The sequence below is a fragment of the Homo sapiens genome, chromosome 4 (assembly GCF_000001405.40).
Source record: "Homo sapiens chromosome 4, GRCh38.p14 Primary Assembly".
Classification (NCBI taxonomy): domain Eukaryota; kingdom Metazoa; phylum Chordata; class Mammalia; order Primates; family Hominidae; genus Homo; species Homo sapiens.
Genome location: NC_000004.12, coordinates 158,009,885 through 158,032,898, shown reverse-complemented (window position 1 = coordinate 158,032,898; position 23,014 = coordinate 158,009,885). Strand labels below are relative to the sequence as shown.

The following is a 23,014-nucleotide window of genomic DNA, read 5'->3' as shown; positions in this document are numbered from 1 at the left end:
CTGAACATTTTTTTCACCATTTTCTTTTGTGGGTCTAATGCTGAGCTCTCATTCAAAAGTGCTATTGAGAAACAGACCTTTATAATAAATAAGAACTCAGTGATGCACTGACTTTAATGGAGTGATCACTATAATGGAAGGCAATTAAAATTGGAAATAGATGTTTGTTTGCTGGCTATGGCATTTGCAGCATGATCTTGAGCATGCCAAGTAGACTCTGAAACTCAGTTTGCGTTTCTGTATGTGTGTATACTTGTTAATAGTTATTTATTGTTTTGGCATCAGTTTTTGTTAATAAATTTTTGTCGTGTTTGAATATCAGAACAACAAAGCCTTCATAAAATTGATTTGGCAAATTCCCCTTTTCTCTAATTCCTGAGACAATTTTATTTAACTTTTATTTTAAGTTCAGGGGTACATGTGCAGGTTTGTTGCATAGGTAAACTTGTGTCATGGGGGTTTGCTATATAGATTATTTAATCACGCAGGTATTAAGCTTAGTGCCTATTAGTTGTTTTTCCTGATCCTCTCCCACCTCCCACCCTCCACCCTCCGAAAGGCCCCAGTGTGTATTCCCCTCTATGTGTCCATGTGTTCTCATCATTTAGCTCCCACTTACAAATGAGGACATGTGGCATTTGGTTTTCTGTTCCTGTGTTGGCTTACTAAGGATCATGGCCTCCAGCTTCATCCATGTCCCTGCAAAGAACATGATCTCGTTTTTTGTCATGGTTGCATAGTATTTCATGGTGTATATGTACTACATTTTCTTTATCCAGTGTATTATTGATGGGCATTTAAGTTGATTCCATATCTTTGCTATTGTGAAGAGTGCTGCAGTGAACTTACAGGTTCATGTGTCTATAACAGAATGATTTTTATTCCTTTGGGTGTATACACGGGAATGGAATTTCTTAGTCGAATGATATTTCTGTCTTTAGGTCGTTAAGGAATCACCACACTGTCTTCCACAATGGTTGAAGTAATTTACACTCCCACCAACACTATGTAACTGTTCCTTTTTCTCCACAACCTACCAGCATCTGTTATTTTTTGACATTTTAATAATAGCCATTCTGACTAGTGTGAGATGGTATCTTATTATGGTTCTATTCCCTAATTATCAGTGATATTGAGCTTTTAATTCACGTACTTGTTGGCTGCGTGTATGTCTGTCTTGGAGAAGTGTCTGTTCATGTCCTTTGCCCACATTTTTTATAGGATTATTTTGTTTTTATTTTTGTAAGTGTAAGAAGATACTGAACTTTAAACCTTTGTCAGATGCATAGTTTGCAAAAATTCTCTCCCATTCTGTAGGTTGTCTATTTACTCTGTTCATAGTTTCTTTTGCTGTGCAGAAGCTCTTTGGTTTAATTAGATCCCACTTGTCAATTTTTGCTTTTGTTGACATTGTTTTTTGGTGTCTTTATCATGAAATCTTTGCCTGTGCCTGTGTCCTGATTGGTATTGCCTAGATTGTCTTCCAGGGTTTTTATAGTTTTGGGTTTTACATTTAAGTCTTTAATCCATCTTGAGTTAATTTTGTATATGGTGAAAGGAATGGGTCCAGTTTCAATCTTATGTATATGGCTAGCCAGTTATCCCAGCACCATTTATTAAATAGGGAACCCTCTCCCAATTGCTTGTTTTTGTCAGGTTTGTCAAAGATCAGGTGATAGGGGTGTGGCCTTATTTCTGAGGTCTCTGTTCTGTTCCATTGGACTATATGTCTGTTTTTGTACTAGTACCATGCTGTTTGGTTACTGTATCCCTGTAGTATAGTTTGAAGTTGGGCAGCATGATGCCTCCAGCTTTGTTCTTTTTGCTTAGGATTGCCTTGGCTATTCAGGCTCTTTTTTTGTTTCATATGAATTTTAAAGTAGTTTTCTCTAGTTCTGTGAAGAATGTCAGTGGTAGTTTCATAGGAATAGCATTGAATCTCTAAATTGCTTTGTGCAGTATGGCTATTTTCATGATATTGATTCTTTGTATCCATGAGCATAGAATGTTTTTCCATTGGTTTGTGTCATGTCTAATTACTTTGAGAAATTGTAGTTTTAGTTGTAGAGTTCTTTCATCTCCCTCGTTAGCTGTATTCCTAGGTATTTTATTCTTTTTGTGGCAATTGTTAAGAAGAGTTTGTTCCTGTTTTGCTCTTGGCTTGACTGTTGTTGGTGTATAGGAAATTGTAGTTATTTTTGCACAGTGATTTTGTATCCTGAGATTTTGCTGAAGTTGTTTATCAGCTTAAGAAGCTTTTGGGCTGAGACGATGGGGTTTTCTAGATATTAGATCATGTTGTCTGCAAACAGAGACTGTTTGACTTCCTCGCTTCCTATTTGGATGCCCTTTATTTCTTTCTCTTCTTAATTGCCCTTGCCAGGTCTTCCAGCACTATGATGAATAGGTGTGGTGAGCGGGGGCATCCTTGTCTTGTGCCAGTTTTGAAGGAGAATGCTTCCAGCTTTTGCCCATTCAGTATGATGCCAGTTGTGGATTTGTCTTATACGGTTCTTACTATTTTGAGGTATGTTCCTTCAATACCTAGTTTGTTGAGAGTTTTTTAACATAAATGGATGCTGAATTTTATGGAAAGCCTTTTCTGCATCTATTAGATAATCATATGGTTTTTTTCTTTAGTTCTGTTTATGTGATGATCTCATTTATTGATTTGCATATGTTGAATCAACCTTGCATCCCAGGAATAAAGCCTACTTGATTGTGGTGGATAAGCGTTTTGATGTGCTGCTGGATTTTGTTTGCCAGTATTTTATTGAGGACTTTTGCATCAATATACATGTTCATCAGAGATATTGTTCTGAAGTTTTCTTTTGTGTGTGTTTGTCCCTGCCAGGTTTTGGTATCAGGATGATACTGGCCTCATAGAATGAGTTAGGGAAGAGTCCCTCCTCCACAATCCTCAATTTTTTGGAATAGTTTCAGTAGGTATGGTACCAGCTTTTCTTTGTACATCTGGTAGAACTCAGCTGTGAATCCATCTGGTTCTGGCTTTGTTTTTTTTGTTTGTTTGTTTTTTGGTTTTGGTTGGTAGGCTATTTATTACTGCCTCAATTTCAGAGCTCTTTATTGTTCTGTTCAGGAATTCAATTTCTTCCTGGTTCAGTCTTTGGAGGGTGTATGTGTCCAGGAATTTATTCATTTCTTCTAGATTCTCTAGCTTATGTGCATAGAGGTGGTCATAATATTCTACAATGGTTGTTTGTATTTCTGTGGGGTCAGTGGTAATATGCCCTTTGTCATTTCTGATTGTGTTTATTTGAATATTCTCTCTTTTCTTCTTTATTAGTCTAGCTAATGGTGTATCTATTTTATTAATGTTTTAAAAAAAATCAGGTACTGGATTTGTTAATCTTTTGAATGGTTTTCATGTCTTAGTCTCCATCAATTCCATTCTGATTTTGGTTATTTCTTGTCTTCTGTTAGCTTTGGGATTTGTTTGCTCTTGGTTCTCTAGTTCTTTTAGTTGTATTGTTAGGTTGTTAACTTGAGATCTTTCTGTCTTTCTGATGTGAGCATTTGTGCTACAAATATCCCTCTTAACACTGACTTAGCTGTGTCCCACAGATTCTGGTATGCTGTATCTTTGTTATCATTAGTTTCAGGTAACTTCTTGATTTCTGCCTTAATTTCCTTATTTACCCGAAAGTAATTCAGAAGCAGGTCATTCAATTTCCATGTAACTGTATGGTTTTCAGTGAATTTCTTAGTCTTGATTTCAAATTTGATTGCACTGTGGTCTGAGAGACTGTTTTTATAATTTCAGTTCTTTTGCATTGACTGAGGAGTGTTTTACTTCCAAGTATGTGATTGATTTTAGAGCATAGCCCATGTGGCTGTGCAAATAATATGTGTTCTGTTGTTTTTGGGTGGAAAGTCCTGTAGATGTCTATCAGGTCAATTTGATCCACTGTTGAGTTCAGGTCCTGAATATCTTTGTTAATTTTCTGTTTCAATAATCTGTCTAACATTGTCAGTGGTGTATTAAAATCTACCACTATTATTGTGTGGGAGATTAAGTCTCTTTGAAAGTCTCTAACAACTTCTTTTATAAATCTGGGTGCTCCTGTATTGGGTTCATATGCATTTAGAAGAGTTAGATCTTGTTGAATTGAATGCTTTGCCATTATGTAATGCCCTTCTTTGTCTTTTTTGATCTCTGTTGGTTTAAAGTCTGTTTTGTCAAAAACTAGAATTATAACCCCTGCTTTTTTCTGTTTTGCATTTGTTTGGTAGATTTTCCTCCAAGACTATGTGTGTGATTATATGTGAGATGGGTCTCTTGAAGACAGCAGACCCATGGGTCTTGGTTCTTTATCCAGTTTGCCACTCTGTGCCTTTTAATTAGGACATTTAGCCCATTTACATTCAAGGTTAGTATTGCTATGTGTGGATTTCATCCTGTCATCATGATGTTAGCTGGTTATTTTGCAGACTTGTTTATGTGGTTGCTTTATAGTGTCACTGGTCTGTGTGCTTCAGTGTGTTTTTGTAGTGGCTGGTAACAATTTTTCCTTTCCATATTTAGTGCTTTCTTCTGGAGCTCTTGTAAGGCAGATCTGTGGTAAAAAATCTGTTTCACTTATAAAGCTTAGCTTGGCCAGATATGAAATTCTTGGTTGGAATTTATTTTCTTTAAGAATGTCGCATATTAGCCCCCAATCTCTTCTGGCTTGTAGGGTTTATGCTGAGAGGTCCACGTTAGAATGTTAGGCTTCCTTTTGTAGGTGACCTGACCTTTCTTTCCAACTGCCTTTAAATTTTTTTCTTTCATTTCAGCTCAGGGGAAGTTGCAGTATGGGGAGGGTACATGTGGGCTGGTGCATGGCCAAAGGGACTGCCTTGCTAAGGCTGTCCACCATTTAGGCACTGTCTGCCAGCACAGAAGCTGTGCTGTGGATCCCAAAGGCACCTGAGACTGCTCCGTAAACAGGCATGGCCAGGCTGGGGTTCTGGGAGAGGTCAGCAGACCAAGGGGTGCTTAGGTTGGACCAGCCCTGTTTGACATGCAAGACCACTGGGCAGAGGGCAGGTCTGATGGTTCCCCTAGAGCTAAAGTCTTTTATGGGAGTAAGTTGAGCCTAGAAGAACAGCCGTCTCTGGTAAGGCTCTGCTACACACACTCCTGAACCAAACCCTCTGGGTTCCATATCATCTGGCTTGCTGCTCCACCACTTTGCTTGTCCCCTGGTGGCTCCACCTCAGAGAGATGTGGGTCAGCAATTGCTCAGTGCAGTCAGCCCAGGAAGAAGGGTCTGTGTTGTGGGCCCAAGACTGGGGTTCCCTGTATTGTGATGAGCAGTGGGGGATGTGTGCAACCTGTGGAAGATGGACTGGCCTCCTCTCCTTGGGATGACTACAGCTTGTTGAAGGTGTGGATAAGGCATTTAGAGTCTTCGTTCCTTCATTAGTCTGAGAGTAGCAAGGACAGTTCCACTGCAGAGACAGTGGCAGAGAGGCTTTCAGTTGCCCCTGGAGGCTCTGTCCAGGGAGTTGCTGAGTTGGCTTAATAGACCTGGCAGGGGGTGACTAGAGGCCCAGGCTTGGAGAACCTTCCTGGTGCGGAGATATGTGAATGGGCATCCACTTAACAGTTTGGCCACGTTTTTGTAGGGCTGCTGTGATATGCTGGGGGGGTCTACTCCAGTCTGTATTTGCCTCGAATTTTCCAGTACCTAGAGGTATCACCAGTGAAGGCTGTGACACGGCAAAGATGGCAGCCCACCCCTCCCTCTGTGAGCTCCATCCCAGGGAGATACAGACCTGTTGCTGGCCTGAATGCACCTGTAGGAGGTGGCTGGAGACCATGGTTGGGAGGTCTTACCCAGTGAGGAGAAATAAGGTTGGCGAAACACTTTAAAAAGCAGTCTGGCCATGTTTTTCTAGAGCAGCTTTGCTGTGCTGGGGGTCTGCATCAGCCCTCAGTTGCCTTGGACACTCCAAAGCCTGAAGGCTGGAATGGCTAAGTTGCCCAAACAGCAAAGATATTGGCCCACCCCTCCTGCTGGGAGCTCAGTCCCAGGGAAGTTTGAAACCTCTGTCAGCTGGAGAACACCAGCAAAGGTAGCTGGAGACCCTGGCTGGGAGGCTCCATCTGGTGATCAGGGATAGGTTTGGGGACCTGCTTAAAAAAGTAGTCTGGGTACGTTTTTACAGGGCAGCTGTGCTGTGCTGGGGTACCACTTCCACCACTGGTCAGGGCTCCTCAAAGCCTGAAGGTTGGTACAGCTAAGTGGCCCAAAGAGCAAAAATGCCAGCCTGCCCCTCCCTCTGGGAGCTCCATCCCAGGAAGCTTTCAAAACTCTGTCAGCTGGAGAATTCTGGTGAGGTTGGCTGGAGGGCCTGGTTGGGAGGTCCCACCCAGTGAGGAGGAATGGGATTAGGGATCTTCTTTAAAAAAAGAGTCTGGCCACATTTTTGCAGAGCAGCTGTGTTGGGGGATCCCTTCTGTCCCTGGTTGGCTTGGACTCTTTAAAGCCCAAAGGCTGGAATGACTAAGTGGCCCAAACGCAAAGATGGTGGCCTGCCCTTCCCCTTGGGAGCTGTCTCTGGGAGGTGAAATTTTGCTACTGGCTGCTGACTGGAGTTCCAAGCCAGTAGGCCTTATACTGTGAGGTGCTGTGGAAGTGGGGCCTACAGACTCTTGCTGCTTGGCCCCCTGGATTCAGCCCATTTCCTAGGGGTATGTACAGGGGTCTAACCTCCCACTTTGCCCGAGTTGCAGCTGCTTTTGCTGGGAAGCCTGGAAAGCCCTAGTATCTCAGGCTCCTGGGTCTGTGTGTGTGCCTGAGCAGCTGCTCTGCCGAAACTCCACATAGCTGTGTGTGTCAGACTGAAGGCCCTGGTGAAGTGGGCTCATGAGAGGATCTCCTGATCTGAGAGTTGCAAAGATCTGTAGGAGAAGCATGGATTCCCAGGGTCACACATTCACTCATCACTTCCCTGAGTGGAGGATGGTTTCCCTGGCTTCATGTGGCTCCTGGGCGAACTGTCATCCTGCCTTACTTTTCTCCATTCTCTGTGGGTTGAGTTGTTTCCTTGATTATTACCAATGTGAGTACCTGGATGTTTTGGTGGAAGGTGCTATATTTACTTGCCCCTTCTGTTCCTCTTCATGAGAGCCACACACACTAGCTGCATCTAGTTGGCCATCTTGGCCACTTCCCCAATTTTTGAAACTATAAATTAAAAGGGTAATGAGAAAATTAAATGAGATATTTTCTTATTTTTATTGCCACATTATTGTCTTTTTTTTTGCTACAGTCTAGCAAAAAATATACTTGTAACATATTTGTGTCAGATTACACTTTCCAAAGATAGTCATAGCCGTATCTCCCATCTCACATGATATTTTTACAATACATCTTTTATATTCCAATTGAAAGATAATATTTATATCCCATACTCATGAGACAAAGAAGGTATCTGGGCTGTTGGACTATCAAAGTTTGGCAAAAGTGGTGTTGGATGATTTCCAAGGCTAGGTCATAATAGGAGACTCAGCTTCTACCTTGATCACTGAAACATGCAGTCTGGAGTCCTGAGCTGCAATGTGACTAATACTACTGCCTTGAGGCCATCATGCTGTGAGGAGTGTAAACTGTCCTAATGTGAAGAGGTCACATGGAAAAGCTATGAGACTATATGAAGAGAGGGATGGTTGGTCATCTCTACTCTCCCCCGTCCACATCTTCACCTGCAATCTGTCACTTCATGAGAGACCCTGAGACACATCTGCCTAGCCAAGCTATTTATGCATTCCCAACAGATCAAAATCATGAGAAATAATAACACTATTTAGTTTTATAGTATTAAGTTCTTGGAGATTTGTTTTACAACACTAGTAACTGATAAGATTATTTGTCTAGCCTTTCTCAAGTTTATTTTTTAAAAAGTTTCTTTAATACATGGAAAGATTACTTTTATTGTCCTAAGAATGAGATATATAATTTCAAGAGCTGACATTATTTTCCTACTCATATTTATTGCTTGAAATTGTTTTCTTTGATCTGGGAGGGTTATAATTTTCACTTCTTTTTCTCTTCCTTACTTCTATCTCTTTTGGGAGAAATGAATTTGAATTTCATAAATGAAAGTGACAGCAAGAGGATGATGCATTACTTACTGATTCAGTACAGTTATTAGAATCAACAGCATCTTCCTTCAGCATAAGCTTATTGAAATTACCTTTATATTATGCATAATGTGTATTTAATGTATTTTAGAAATCTATCATTTGGAGATAATCGTGGTTTTCTGTTTATTCTCTACTTCTGTAAATCTCATTATTTTGATCTGCTTTTCATACGCACGCGGTTGATTCTTCACATATTTTGCAGCATAATTCTCTTCTTTAGTGTGTTCAATGGCTTGTATCATTTACACCAATATAGTTCTTCATATAGTTCTTATTTGCAATCTTGTATTTTGTGATAAAATTTCTTGAAACACCTGATTTCAGTGGTTATTGAGCTGAATTGATGATGGTGACAATGGTAATAATAATGTGAGTCTTTCCCTTTCTCATTCTCTTCTTCTTCTCTGATCTTTTTTAAGGATATCCATTTACTTATTTTCAAATTTTGTTCTGTGCTAAAGGGGTTATTTACAGTTAAAATACCTTTATGCTCTTTTGATATTGTGAAATCCAGTCTTTATTGTAAGTTAGCCTTAGGAAATGTGCATCATCAAGGAACAAATGAAAAGCAGTTTTTCTAGTTTCCTTCTCAGATATCCCTTGAGTCCTTATAAAAGTGGTTTCAAGACAGGTTTGTGAAATGGTTGAATTTGCCTTCAGTGTTCCTAGAGTTCATGCACTTTCTCATTGTCCTATTCCAGATATCTGCTCTTCTCTCCAACCTTCCCAGGTCTCAGGAGTCACATGTGCCCTTTCCTAAGACCATAGAAAAGCTTATTCTCAAATTGTTGTTCACACAGAAGTATGAATTACTATTAATGACATACATTTAGCCATTTCAGAAACTCATTCTTTTCTTTTTATTTGTATAAATTTAAGTGGTACACCTGCAATTTTGTTATGTGGATATATTGAGGAGTGGTGAAGTCTTGGCCCTTACTGTATCCATTGCCAGAATAATGTTTTTTGTACCCATTAAGTAATTTCTTGTCAGCACCTTTTCTGAGTCTCCAGTGTTTATTATTCCACACTCTACATCCATGTGTACACATTATTTAGCTTCCAGTTATAGGTGAGAACGTATGGTATTTGATTTTCTGTTTCTGAGTTGTTTCACTTAAGATAATGAATGGCCTTCAGTTCCATTCATGATGCTGCACAAGATATGATTTCATACATTTTTATAGCTAAATAGTATTTCATTGTGTATATATACCACATTTTCTTTAATCCAATCATCTGTTGATGGACACTGAGGTTGGCACTAGATTTGCTATTGTAAATAGTGTCGTGATAAACGTATGAGTACAGGTGTGTTTTTGATGTAATGATTTCCTTTCCTTTGAGTAAGATACCCAGTAGTGGGACTGCTGGATCAAGTGGTAGATCTATTTTTAGCTATTTGAGAAATCCCCCTACTGTTTTCCATAGAGGTTGTACTAATTTATATTCCCATTTACAGTATATAAGTATTCCTTTTTCTCCACATCTTCCTTTTTCTCCACATCTTTGCCAACATCTGTTATTTCTTCACTTTTTAATAATTGCCATTGTGACTGGTGTGACATGATATCTCATTGCAGTTTCAGTTTATATTCCTCTGATGCTTAGTGATGTTGAACATTTTTTATATGTTTGTTAGCCATTAATAATAAATTCTCTTTAATGGTAATAAAGCTAAAGAAATGAATACCCCATTGCATATTTGCCAGTAGCTGAGGAAAGTTTTCGAAAGTGACCTCAGTTTTTTTTAATTGCCCTGAAACAATGCTTATAGGTGATCCCTGGATCAAAGAATTAGTTCATTTCAAACTCATGTTTATTAATTTCCTGACACTTATGTATAAGATCATTTTTGCTCAGATGTGGGTCTAAATCGGTTTGTTCATATCTGGATAAAAGGGAGAAGGTATTTGATATCTTCAAACTGTTGTTTTTCAATCTATGAGATTTTCTTAAATACAGAAAATACTCTTAATGAAAGCCATGGTGTAAAATACAGTTTAAATATTCAGTGGTTTTCTTATGTCTTCTCTATGAAAGCAGGAAATTAGAGTTAGTAAGTAGGATGAAAAGAATGCGTTTCTTACACTGCACATAAATTAGATCATTTTATTTGTAGCCACCTCATCCCTGGGAATCCCATGCAGAAGGCAAGTCTTAAACAATACACCATTTCCAGAGGGTTGGAGAGAATGTAATTTACACCGTGAAATCCATTCTCTCTTCTTAAGAATTTTATTCCTTGAGTATTGTTTCATCTAGGTGCTGAATATATGTGAATTTTAAGATTTATGATCTGGTTCAATGTTGCTGGAATCATAATGGCTGTGATTCTACTTTGCTGACCACTTGAAAGCCAGACATAAGTTGATGGAGATAGAAATTCGGTCATCTTTATACCTATGTTAGAATTATCAATTCTTCCACAATACTACCGAGGTTAACAGTATGTTTTTTACATTTGATTTCAACACACACGTAAAAACAGCAACTGATAATTAGGTGTTTTTGTTGTTGTTGTTTTGTTTTGTTTTTTGATACAAAGTCTCGCTCTGTCAACTAGGCTGGAGGGCAGTGGCACGATCTCGGCTCACTGCAGCCCTGCTTCCTGGGTTCAAGTGATTCTCCTGCCTCAGCCTCCCAGGTGGCTGGGATTACAGGTGTGTGCCATCATGCCTGGCTAATTTTTGTATTTTTTAGTAGAGACGGGGTTTCCCTATGTTGGCCAGGCTGGTCTCAAACTCCTGACCTTGGGTGATCTGCCCGCCTTGGCCTCCCACAGTGCTGGGATTACAGGCATGAGCCAATGCGCCCAACCATACTGATCATTAGGTGTTTATTGGTAGAATACATCTCCTTGTTTATTACATGAAGCATGTGGGCACTCCAACAAGTCGCAGCATTTGGTATAATATATAAACAATAAGTAATTGTTAAATAAATAAATGCCTGGGATTGAATCTTCTTTCTACCATTCTTAGTTGTATGATGTTTCTCTTCGTTTCCTCATCTGTACAAACGGTGCTGATAGTAACAGTTTCTACCCATTAGAATGGATTAAACATGATAATACAGGTAAAGCACTTAAGAAGGTGCCAATGCATGTTAATAGTAAGCCCTGCCTTTAGTCACCCACCTCTCACCAACATGTCCAAAGATAGCTCCTACACTCTTGGCCACACCACCAGACTCTAACTAGAGCCGTGATTGACCTTCTTAACCTTGATTGACTTTGTATAGGAAAACTTAGGGGGCTTTCAAAAAATACTGACATCTAGGTTCCCACTCCTAGTGAGTTTGATTTAATTGGGTTAGGGTTTGACCTGAGCATAGAGATTTATAAAGGCTCCGCAGGTAATCCTAAAGTGCAGCTAAAGCTGAAGAAAAACTGGACTGGATGTGATCAACAGGGCTTGTCTACCTCTAAATCTTATAGCTTTTCCTCAGAGTATCTAGAAATCAGCAATAATATATCAAAATCACTCCTCTTAGATTTACAACTCTTTTTACGCTAGATGAAATCCAGATAGGTTATATCTTTATAATGTTAACATATTTTTAGTTCTGGATTAATGCCTCTTTGGCCCAGGGTGTGTGAGTTGTTAAATTCGTTCCTATCATTTTAGTGTTATCTTTGTGAGGAATGAACATACTGATTAATATTACATTTTACAAAGTGGCATATTTTCAAAGCTTCTTTGTAGAGACTACTGCTTTGACTTAATATCAAGGAATAGAATGGCTAACGTTCTCTGAATAGGCATTTGTTTTGCTGTAAGAATTCCTTAAGCATGATGTCGGCGACTGACAAGATGAAAAATGGTTCTGTGATTCATTTCCAGCCTCAGGCTTATAGAACCACTTAAATATTTTGAGATGTCCTCCTACATCCTGAAATTGTACTAAATCAGAACTGAAAGGATCTCAACAGTCTGAGATTGATCCAAGGGTTAAAATATCATACTCTATTTCTTTTCCATAATACAGTAATGCTATGAAAATAAAGTTTACAAAGAAAGATTAAATATGATTAACAGGCAAATTTGAGCTTGAAACTTACTATCATATTCTGTTATAATTTGTCTGAACAAGTTAAAAAAATGTTACATGCCCCTCACATACTCCTAATCATCAGATGCTCCTAATGAAACAACATATAAATGGATTCTTGAAAGCATTCACAATTCCAGACCATTTTGAGCCAGTCATTAAAATCTTTTGTTCTCTTAATGCCTTGTAAAGTTATTCTCAAGCAATGTTCCAGCTGACTATGACTCATAGTCAGGGGACCAGGCCAATGGAACTTAGCATGAAGTGCTTTATGTGGTATAAAGAGGCTTCTACTGTATTTCAATGTATGGACTTTGAAAGTAACACACAGTAAAGCCAGATGGTAAACACATGTTGACCCCATTCAGAAAACACAGTCCTAAGATTCAACATAAGCTCTGCATCAAGAAAGAATGCAAGGTTGTTAAAGAATAACAGACTCTCACTGAAATAGATAAACAATAGTATAAGGGCCTATAAAAATAATTCAACTGAAATACTTCCTTGTTGGTTTTAGCAAAAAGAGAGTATCCTTGATATTTTCAGATGACTGACTATATTCATGTATCAGATTTCATTTTTAGACACAGCATCTTGACTGTAATAGTTATTATAGATTTATTCATTCCACGTATATATAGAGAGTGTCTACCGTGTGTCAGGTATTGTGATAGGAGTTGAGACTTAGTGAACAAGATTAGCATCAAACTTATTAGGAGCACTGGAGAAGCACCCAGAGGAAATGATTATATAAGATTATTATTTATATAGTTATCATGCTCATATGAAGTCCACCAAAATCTAGAATAATACGACACATATAGAACTTAATATGTGTGAGATTCTGTTCTAAATGTTTACACATAATAACTCATTTAATCTTGCAACAATCTGTGAAGTGGTTTCTACTACTATCCCACTGTAATGTGTAAGGAAAATGAAACAAAGAGGGGTTAAGTAACTTGCCTAGGATGACCCTGCTAGTAATGTCAGAGCTGGAGTTCCCTGCTTTCCAGGTAGCCTGGTGTCTGTTTTACATTTTGAGCTACATCATGAGCTAGTGATACAATTACTTGACACTAATTATACTTTACAATAAAGCATATTAATTCGAGTAATTTTAATACAGTAATCCTTTGATGTTTATTACTTGAAGGAACAGTACAGGTTAAGACAGAATAGCAAGAAAACTTGAATGATAATAAAGAGATACAAGGGAGAAAGTGTTACTTTATGTATTATGCCCTAACATTTAAAATATTTTTAGTAACCTTAATTTCATTTTTTAAATATAAAAATAATTAACACTCATAGTAGGAAATATAGAAAAGTGAAAAACCACCATACACTATCTCATTTTCAAGATGAGAATATTTTATTACTATTCTTTTTCTATATGTAAGATTCATAGAATTATAATATAGTGATTAAAATAAAATTGTATGCTACTTATTGCATACATTAGTATAATATAAACATATCTCACAGTAAAATAGTTATTTCTAAACCTTATTTTCAAAAGTAGCTCCCCATCCCATCTTTTTAGGAAAAGAGGATTATCTTTCACATTATTCCTTGATACCAAAGTTATCCAGAGTCTGATATTTATCTAAGCCAGCCTGGTGGTTTGGGAGTTCTTTAACATGTGCAGAATGATGGTCTGGAAAAACCTAAGTTATTGTTCAACAGCTGAATAAACTATCAATATCAAGAGAGCAGTGCAAATCTCTCTAAATAATTCTTTTAAAGAGGAAGCCATCTCAATGGAAATGGGTGAATATTTGTCCTTTGTAATATTATGATGCGAATTTCCAATTACTGAACCCAATGTCAGCTCCTGAACAAGTGAGATAAATGCCTTAGCTCATAGGTACTTTTGACTCCCAAGACATGTCACTCTAAAACCTCATGTTCATTTATTTCACCAACATTTAATACCACAGCACATGATTTATTTGGTATGATTCCAGTGCATTGGCAGGGAAAATAAATAATAGTTCTCTGCATATAATTATCTAGGAGACTAGGTCTTTGACAGGGGAATTACCCATTTAAAGATGGATGGCAAATGCTGCTAGTCATTGGAGAATGTCTGAAAGCCTTTTCTTGTTCCGAAATGAGTCTTTAAAGAAGGCATCTGTAGAACAAATGATTATAGAGGTCACATAGTTCAAATGACAAATTCTGCTAACAAAGCAAGGCTCCTGTGTATTACTGGGCACTTTTGCTTCTTAGGTCATGGAAAGAGAAAAATAAAGAGATAGCTAGGGAAGGAAAAGCAATTGTTCCAAAAACCACCACTATCACCAGCACCACCACCAATGATAACAATAAAATCACCAAAACAATTGCAACAAAAAGTAGATAAAGTTGAAGAGAGAGAGCAAAAGAGCAAAAAGGGAAGTGAAATGCAGAAAAAAGTACATATGGTAAGAATTATGGAGAAATTCTGCCAGTGGTACTAACTGAATAAACTGTCGAATTGATCTAATATATGGTTCAGAGGGCTGACAGCTGAATTTCAGGTATCTTCATTAGCAACTGTGCACCTTTAAAATGCGGCATATCTTTATTTTCCTGTCTTGAAATAAAACAATAGAATATCAAGAAACTCTATTTACCTATAAGGCCCTAATTAGAATGAAATGATGGGTATTAGATAATGTTCTAGACATGATTTCAAATATAAAGACCCATTATTTTTATTTATTTTATGATGAACATATTTTTGTGATATTCTCTGATCTAATTTCCATCCTTTATATCTCTGTATGATTGGTATATTTATCATAAATTTAAAAAACAGAGCTGTTTACCAATATCAAGTGAAAAGTCTCATAATAGTGAACAATTACTAACTGATTACAATACTAACCCAAGAGGTCAATGTGAACTTTCTCATATAATTCTCATAAATTTATTTGAGTTATGTGGCATTGTTATACTTTTTTTACAGCTGGGGAAACTGAGTAACGAAGCAGTTAAGTAACTTGCTCAATAGAGGAGCCATGACTTATAACCCAGGCAGTCTGATTCTGGAAGCTGTGCTCTTAACCACGACACGAAGTAAAATAAAAGTGAAAGAAAAAAAAAGCCAGGAATAAATGAGGTTTCTTCAGGCATACTTTATGATTTTTACTTAATATTTTCAACATTGATTTAACTAATATTTACCAAGCACCTTTTAGATTCGTCGTACCATGCTGCACTGTATTATTGTGATTGATGAATGATATGTGTGGTGCCTGCCACATGGAATATATAATCGAGAGAGATAATGAAATATAAATAATTTGTCAATTTTTCATTTATTGCAAACACAGATCTGGGTGTTCTGGGGCCATTTTAATTTTTACAATATAATTATTACTAAAGGTTAAATAGCTTAGAATATATATGTATACATATACATATGTTAGTACATATACACAATATATGTACATATACAATATATACATATATTGTGTATATGTTAGTACATATACACAATATATGTACATATACAATATATACATATATTGTGTATATGTTAGTACATATACACAATATATGTACATATACAATATATACATATACGCAATATATGTACATATACAATATATACATATATTGGGTTTGTGAGTCTTCCATTCTAATGTTAACTTTCCTAAAAATGTTGACTGTGTTATTAGGCAAGTTGTAACTACTTTTTACATCAAGCATCCCATTCACCAAATGATGCTAATGCCTACTACAAATGCAGGAAAAAATGATGACATAATTTTTGGGTAGAGTTCTCAGCTCTGTGGTAGGGCAAGAAAAACAAAAACCTTCATTGTCCACCTTGAATAATTACTATACAGTGGAGACTAATCCTTGATCTCAAGTTAATAACGGGAAGCTATCTGAAGGTGCTTGCTTTGAAAGATTACAGGCTTAAGCAGATATAGGGGGATCATAAATAGCAGACATATTGTGAAATAAAATTTTACTCCAGGAGTACTAAGAATGTTTTTATAAGGATGTTGAAATAATGGGTTGAAACCATGGAGACTGAGTTAGGCATTGGATGAGCTGTTTCCACATTGTGCCAGAGGTGAAAAGATGAAGGTGAAGAGGGAAGCTATTGAGCTGTGAGAAGGTTATAAGTAAACTAAAAAGTGGACTGAAGGATAGAGTAACTGTTTCTGGAAGGAGTTGCCTAAGCCAAAAACCTTTTCCTGGCATACCCGTAGAACATCTTGTTTTTATGCTGAAAAGAGAGTCCACATTAATGTAGTTTAGTTGTGTTTGCATCCTTGTGATTTTCTGAAGCTCATAATAAGTGTGCTAGGAATAGCTTAATTGTTGTAGTTTACATCATAAAGTAATTACCACCATCATGGTGGTCAGTAGAGATCTTCTAAGGATAAAATATGTGCTAGTGTTTTTTTCACTTTGCATCATTTTTTCTTTCTTTTGGCTATGATTTCTTGGGAATAATACAGAGACAACAAATGATGTCTTAAATTCATAGTTCTTACTCTTCTGCCAACTTTTTTTTCATATAACTATCCCCTGGTTGGAATAGGATTTTCTACCTTTGCAATATGTGTATTAAAAACCGAATTTGTGGCCGGGTGCAGTGGCTCATGCCTGTAATCCCAGCACTTTGGGAGGCTGAGGCAGGCAGATCACTTGAAGTCAGGAATTCGAGACCAGCCTGGTCAACATGGTGAAACCCCGTCTGTAATAAAAATACAAAAATTGGCCGGGCATGGTGTCATGTGCCTGTAATCCCAACTACTTGGGAAGCTGAGGCAGGAGAATAACTTGTAACTGGGAGGTGGAGGTTGCAGTGAGCTGAGATGGTGCCACTACACTCCAGCCTGGGTGACAAGAGTGAGACTCTGTCTCAAACACAAACAAACAGACAAACAAATAAATGGAATTTGTAATTGTCCAAAACATACAAACAAACAAATAAATGGAATTTGTAATTGTCCACAACAAAAATTGATGGTAGAGAATATAACCAGTTGTTATCTACTTGTAAATAGATGGTTACTTTTTTGTTCGTTCATAACATAGAAATAATGATATTATTAAAAATATCTCTTTTTTTTACTGGATATGGGCAAAGTAGTAGTCATGTATATCAGTGTGTGAGTCATGGGCAGATAGCATCAGCATTACCCACAAACCAGCCTTTTTCCAGCCCTACTGAATTAGAAACTGTTGGTAGAGTTCAGGAATAGATGGTTTAACTAGTTTCTCAGGTGGTCTTTATGAAAACGAAAGTTTGAAAAGTCCTAGTTCATGTCACTTTCATTCACATTCTCTTGGCCAGAACCCAATCATCTGACCCTAATTTCATGCAAGGCTGTGAGAGAAGCCAGTTTCCAGAGCAACTCTACCCTTCGGTACACAGAAATACCCAACTCGACCTAGTGTTTGGCAAACAACTAGCTATCTCTAGCTAGCATTAATCTTTCAGAAGAAAAGTTATGTCACAAGAAAATAAGTTTTAGAAGGTACTGGAAATGTTGTTTAATCAATAGTCAACCCAATTTTATTTATTTGTATTGCTTTATATTTAAAATATAGTGCTAATTCTCTTTTATATTTGTGGCACTTTGAAAAAAATTCAACTAAAAGCCTTGATAGAAAAAAAAGTTTCAATGAAAAGGATGTGTTCTGAGCAGAGCCAAATTTCTATTTATTTCTGCCAATTGCTAACCAAGTGGCATTGGGAAAGTTGAACCTGTTTTAAGAAATTCAAAGTAAAATAAAAGCTTTAACATTGAGGATACTTGAGGTTTGACAGTTTTATGTTTTCTAAGTTAATATTTTGGGATTATAATTAAATCCAATGATTAAATGAATATGTATTTGATTATTTTATGCTTTGCAAAGGTAGTTACTGGGGATTAAAACTTAGTCTAGTGATAGGAGAACTAGATATGTAAATAAATAAAAACAGTACATATGTGATTTTATTGTCTTTTATAAGTTTCATATGTTTCAGCTTTAAAAGCAAATCTATTAAAATAGTTAATTCACAATTTAGGACTATTTCTAGTGGTATTATGAGACAGACCATGCAGAGTTTTATTTTTTTATTTTTTTATTTTTGAGACAGTCTTGCTCTGTCACCCAGGCTGGAGTGCAGTGGCATAATCTTGGCTCACTGCAACCTCCTCATCCTGGGTTCAAGCAATTCTTCTGCCTCAGCCTCCCAAGTAACTTGGGATTACAGGCATATGCCACCACACCTGGCTAATTTTCGTTTTTTTTTTAGTAGTGATGGAGTTTCACCGTGTTGGCCAGGCTCGTCTCGAACTCCTGACCTCGAGTGATGTGCCTGCTTTGGCCTCCCAAAGTGCTGTGATTACAGGCATGAGCCATTGCACCTGGTCCCATATAGCATTTATTAATTATATGTTTTAAGTTTTTCCTCATTACTGTATAAACAATAACTATTACTGTATTCTCAGTTCCTGGAACTGTATATACTTAGTAGAATAGCATGCACTATATATTTGTTAAATTAATGAAACAAAATATTAAACCCCATGGTTTAGTTATGACTCAGAGTATCTTCCTTACCATTCCCTAGTACATTGTGGCCAACAATTTTCATGCCTTATGTATCTATCAAGCAATGTGATCTATGATAATCACCAGTGCAACTAAAGAAAAATAAAAAGAGCTTAGTGTTGTTATCTCTGAAAAATGAGTCAAGTGGTCACTCTGGTCTATGTGGATTTTTAAAGCTTTGTGCTGGTAATAAAGAAGTCCAATTTGTAAAGGAGAAAAAAACACATAGCAAAAGGAGAAGACTTCTGTTTGAGCTTGTGAATAGGCAAGAGAAATAAAATAGATTTAAATAGGAAAATTATATAGCTCTTCAATTAAAACAATAAAAGATGTTAGAGTGTCTTTTAAAAGAAATAAATGCTTAGGATAAATTCAGGTTTTTAATTGTTGTTTTTATTGTCACTTATCATTAACTTCCTTGTCAACCCAACCCCAGTGGCACTTTCTAGAGATCTTTGGTTTATTTCTTAGGAGTGGGCTGTCTTCTTTCTCTGTTTCAAAGCAACTGCTGTCTATTTCCTCTCCTAGGCTCTAAAAATGAATCACAAAATGTGTCATTTGTTCAAAGCAAAGATAGCCTCTTCTATATTCAGCAGGACCAAATCAGGTAATATACATGAACAGGCCTCATATAACTTGTTTTTGCTGTTGTTTTTAGAATCTGGAGAACAACTACCCAACTGCAGAGTAGGGGTGTTGCTCCTGCTCTGTGCGTGTTTGTGTTTTAAGAGACTGAGTGAAATCACCCATTTTAAAGGACAGATCAGAGACATTTAAACAAAATTGAATTTGGAGTTTGGATGAAAAATTTACTCCATTTTCTTACAAAAACCAAACTAAATCAAACCATGTTTTCATTTTGTTCACCATCCATTGAGAACATTATGGATTTTTTCTCTCTGTTTTTTAAATTTTATTATCGTATATTAAAATTTGGTTTTAAAGTTTGTTTGTTTTTTTTTGTTTGTTTGTTTTCAGATGAGTTTGGGCGCATTCAGGGCAGTATGACCATAGCCTGGTTTTTTTATTTTCAGAAACAATGCCTTTAGTCCTTTAATTTCCTCTCTACTTGCTCATCTGACATGTGTTCATTGCTCTCATTCTCCTGCTTCTCTAAATAATATTAAGTAACAGAAAATGTGCTATTTAATAAAATTAAAATGAAGTTTATTAACATATTTTTCAGAATACTATATATATTCTTAATATTTGTTTGTGTCCAGAGAATTTTTACTTTAATGTAATATAAACCTTAGGACTAATTGAATTGGAAGTATATTCTAAAGGCTACTTACTCCACCATTCTATGTTAACTCACAAACTATATAACAGAAAAAAATCATTTTTTTCTTTATGATAAATCTTAGATTAATTTTGACAAGCTCAGCATGACAATCAAACTTGCTGTACAACTTTGATTTATGTGAAAACACACACACACACATACCATCCATCAACTCTTAAAAATTTCTTCTGATTGATTGGCTAGAGAATGAAAGATTTACAGAAATATATTAGACAAAAGAACAAGCTATGAAGCTAAAATACTAATTACTAATGACAGAAGGGCAATAACATTTATTGGGAAAAGTATCTCTTCCCCTGAAGCATCTTAAAGGTTGTCTATTGATGGCTTCAGTGCTTTTCAAGGGTTAAACAAGACAATCAAATTAAATTCATATTTGCATATATGTAAGTATGGTTGAACAGTATAAATAATGCCACCTTTATGTCTAATAAATTATACTACATGAAAAAGATGGACTGCTCATCATCAACATATTCTAATTAAATCTCTTCTGTGAACTGAAGTGTGCAGTTCACAGTATGCATGAAAGCTTTACAGGCTTTCAGTTTCTTAAAGCATTTGAGAAGGATCATAAAACTGTAAACAAACAGAGTCCTCTCTAAATAACCAACTTAAGTCTCCTATCATAATTAAAATAATTTTCTAAAAGCACATGATCCAAATTGAGCCAAGAATTAATTTAAAAAATAAACAGAAAATAAAATAATATTAAATATGAAACTGAAACTATCTACAAAATCACCTAATAAACAGAAATATGTTATATGATGACAGTGAAGTTTACATATTCTTCCCACTTTGCTAGAGATCAGTGCTTGTAGGGGAAGAAAATTTGAGAATTATCAGGATGATATTTCTTCTTATTTCACCAGGTACATGTTAACATCTCAGTTTTCCTAAACTAAATGTATGCATTTTTCATTATAAAGTACCTTTACTCACTTAAAGCTTCCAGTTAGCAGAAAGTTCATTTCTATGTGGCTTTGGGATTTGTACTCTTTATTTGGGCTAAAACCTTGTGAAGCAAAGACAGCTGAGGGGAAAGGACAAGAAGCTACATGGAATTCTTCACCTTAAGGCTGGAGTCAGAGAGGAAGGGAGTGCCAGCGACCCCAGACGTGTGTCAAGGTGTTCCCCTGCCAGAGACTTGGAGCCAACTCCAGCCACTACCTGGTGAGATACTGTACTGCCACTGCAACAGAACCATCTCCAGGATCCACTTCACTTCTTTACAACAGCTTGCTCTGTGACAAACCCAGTGCCTAATCCTACCTCCCTGCACAAAGAAGATGATTCAGGTGCACACTCTTTGCCAAAAACTTTAATATTGACAGTAGTCTTTATGTTGTGTTTCAGTCCCACTGATAAGTGCAGGAGGCAACTTGAGAAGAACTGATTGTGTATAAACTAGAGCCTTGGTAAATATATCAGAATATCAACACTGTTATAGCTGGAAGGCACTGGCTTCCAAAAGTCTTGGCCACATCCCCTAGAGGGGCACAGGAATGATGCAGGGGTGGGGAGGGGGCACTAGGATGGGGACCACAGAGAGTTCTGCTGTCTTTGGGTTCCACATGTCAAACAAGCACCAGCTACAAATGACAGTTCCAAAAGACTCAGCATTGGTACATTGGAAAATACCCAATAAATGTGGTAAACATAAAAAAAGTGAAATTTGACCATTTATCAAAGTTATTTGTGATTATCAAAACAAAACCCCCCAAATTTAAAATGGCCATATTTAAACCATAGACTGTAGTGACTGTACAGGCTGCAATGATAGTGAATGAATATTTTAAATTCAGTTCTGGTGACAACTATGACCAAAGGTGATATTTTCTAAATTTATTCCTTTAGAAAATAAGTGATACAATTTCATTTGTTTAATTTTTTACAAAGGTAGAATTCTTCATAATCGGGAAATGCTATTGCCTTTTATTCTCTAAGAGTTAAGCAATGGCCATAAACTTCAGTTCTATTTGATCATTTGTTCACATCTGCATGTTAACAGGTTGGCTTGTGATGAACCGTATTCAGCTAAAGCCACCGAAGTACTGCAATATAGGGCAAAACAAATCATACAGTGTTTTTAGTGGGCTGTCAAGATACTTCACGTTTTTTTCAAGCATTTTCTACTGCATTATATAATGTTTCCTCTAGATATTTCAAATATTGCACAGTGTAAGATCCCCATATTCACTCTTCTCAAAACAGACCTTGGCAGGCCAGACATGATGGCTCATGACTGTAGTCCCAGCACCGCGGGAGGCTGAGACAGACGGGCGATTGCTTGAGTCAGGGAGGTCAAGGATGCAGTGACCCATGATCACACCATTGCATTCCAGCCTGGGAGACAAAATGAGACCCCATCTCAAAAAAAAAAAAAAGCCCAAAAAACAAAAAAAGTAAACAAAAAGCAGACATTGGCCATCATTTCCCTTTAGAAAACTAAACCTTAACCTCCAAAGAAATGCCATTCCCTCATTTATACTCTCCTTGTGCACTGTAGAGACTTCTCTCAAAGCACTTATAGTGATAGATTCATTAAATCTGTCTATCTCTCTCTCTATCTATTATCTATCTATCTTGCTTGGTTATGAACTTACCCTATTTATTCCCTCACACAGACTTATGTGCCCTATGCTCTGAGGGCTTAGGCTGTATTCATTTTTACATATTCAGCTCTCTGCTCCAAATCTAGCACACCTAGTTATTTAACAACTATGTATTAAGTGCTTACATAGAGTCAGACTGGTGTAGTGGAACAGCGCATTAGCTGTGTGATTGTCAGAAGTGTTTGAACCAGAGCAACTCCATCTTGAATAGGGGCTGGTAAAATAAGGCTGAGACCTACTGGGTTGCATTCCCAGGAGGTTAAGGAATTCTTAGTCACAGGATGAGACAGGAGGTCGGCACAAGATACAGGTCAAAAAGACCTT

At 37.0% G+C, this 23,014-nt stretch overlaps 1 long non-coding RNA gene across 1 annotated transcript in view, besides 1 other annotated feature; it reads left to right on the top strand.

The window, feature by feature from the left end:
- Nucleotides 1–2,306: 2,306 nt before the first annotated feature.
- Nucleotides 2,307–23,014, top strand: part of LOC105377509 (uncharacterized) — a 227,163-nt gene continuing 206,455 nt past the window's right edge. Inside the window, exon 1 of the long non-coding RNA XR_007058347.1 lies at nucleotides 2,307–2,527. This is a non-coding gene — a long non-coding RNA (uncharacterized LOC105377509). The remainder of the gene's footprint in view (nucleotides 2,528–23,014) is intronic.
- Nucleotides 17,026–17,182: a silencer, noted in NCBI's record as "fragment chr4:158936869-158937025 (GRCh37/hg19 assembly coordinates)". NCBI's record gives its function as "represses an EF-1alpha promoter that drives an FKBP-Casp9 reporter gene in an ReSE screen in phorbol 12-myristate 13-acetate-treated (for megakaryocytic differentiation) K562 erythroleukemia cells {active_cell/tissue: K562(+PMA)}" and the evidence as "EXISTENCE:reporter gene assay evidence [ECO:0000049][PMID:32094911]".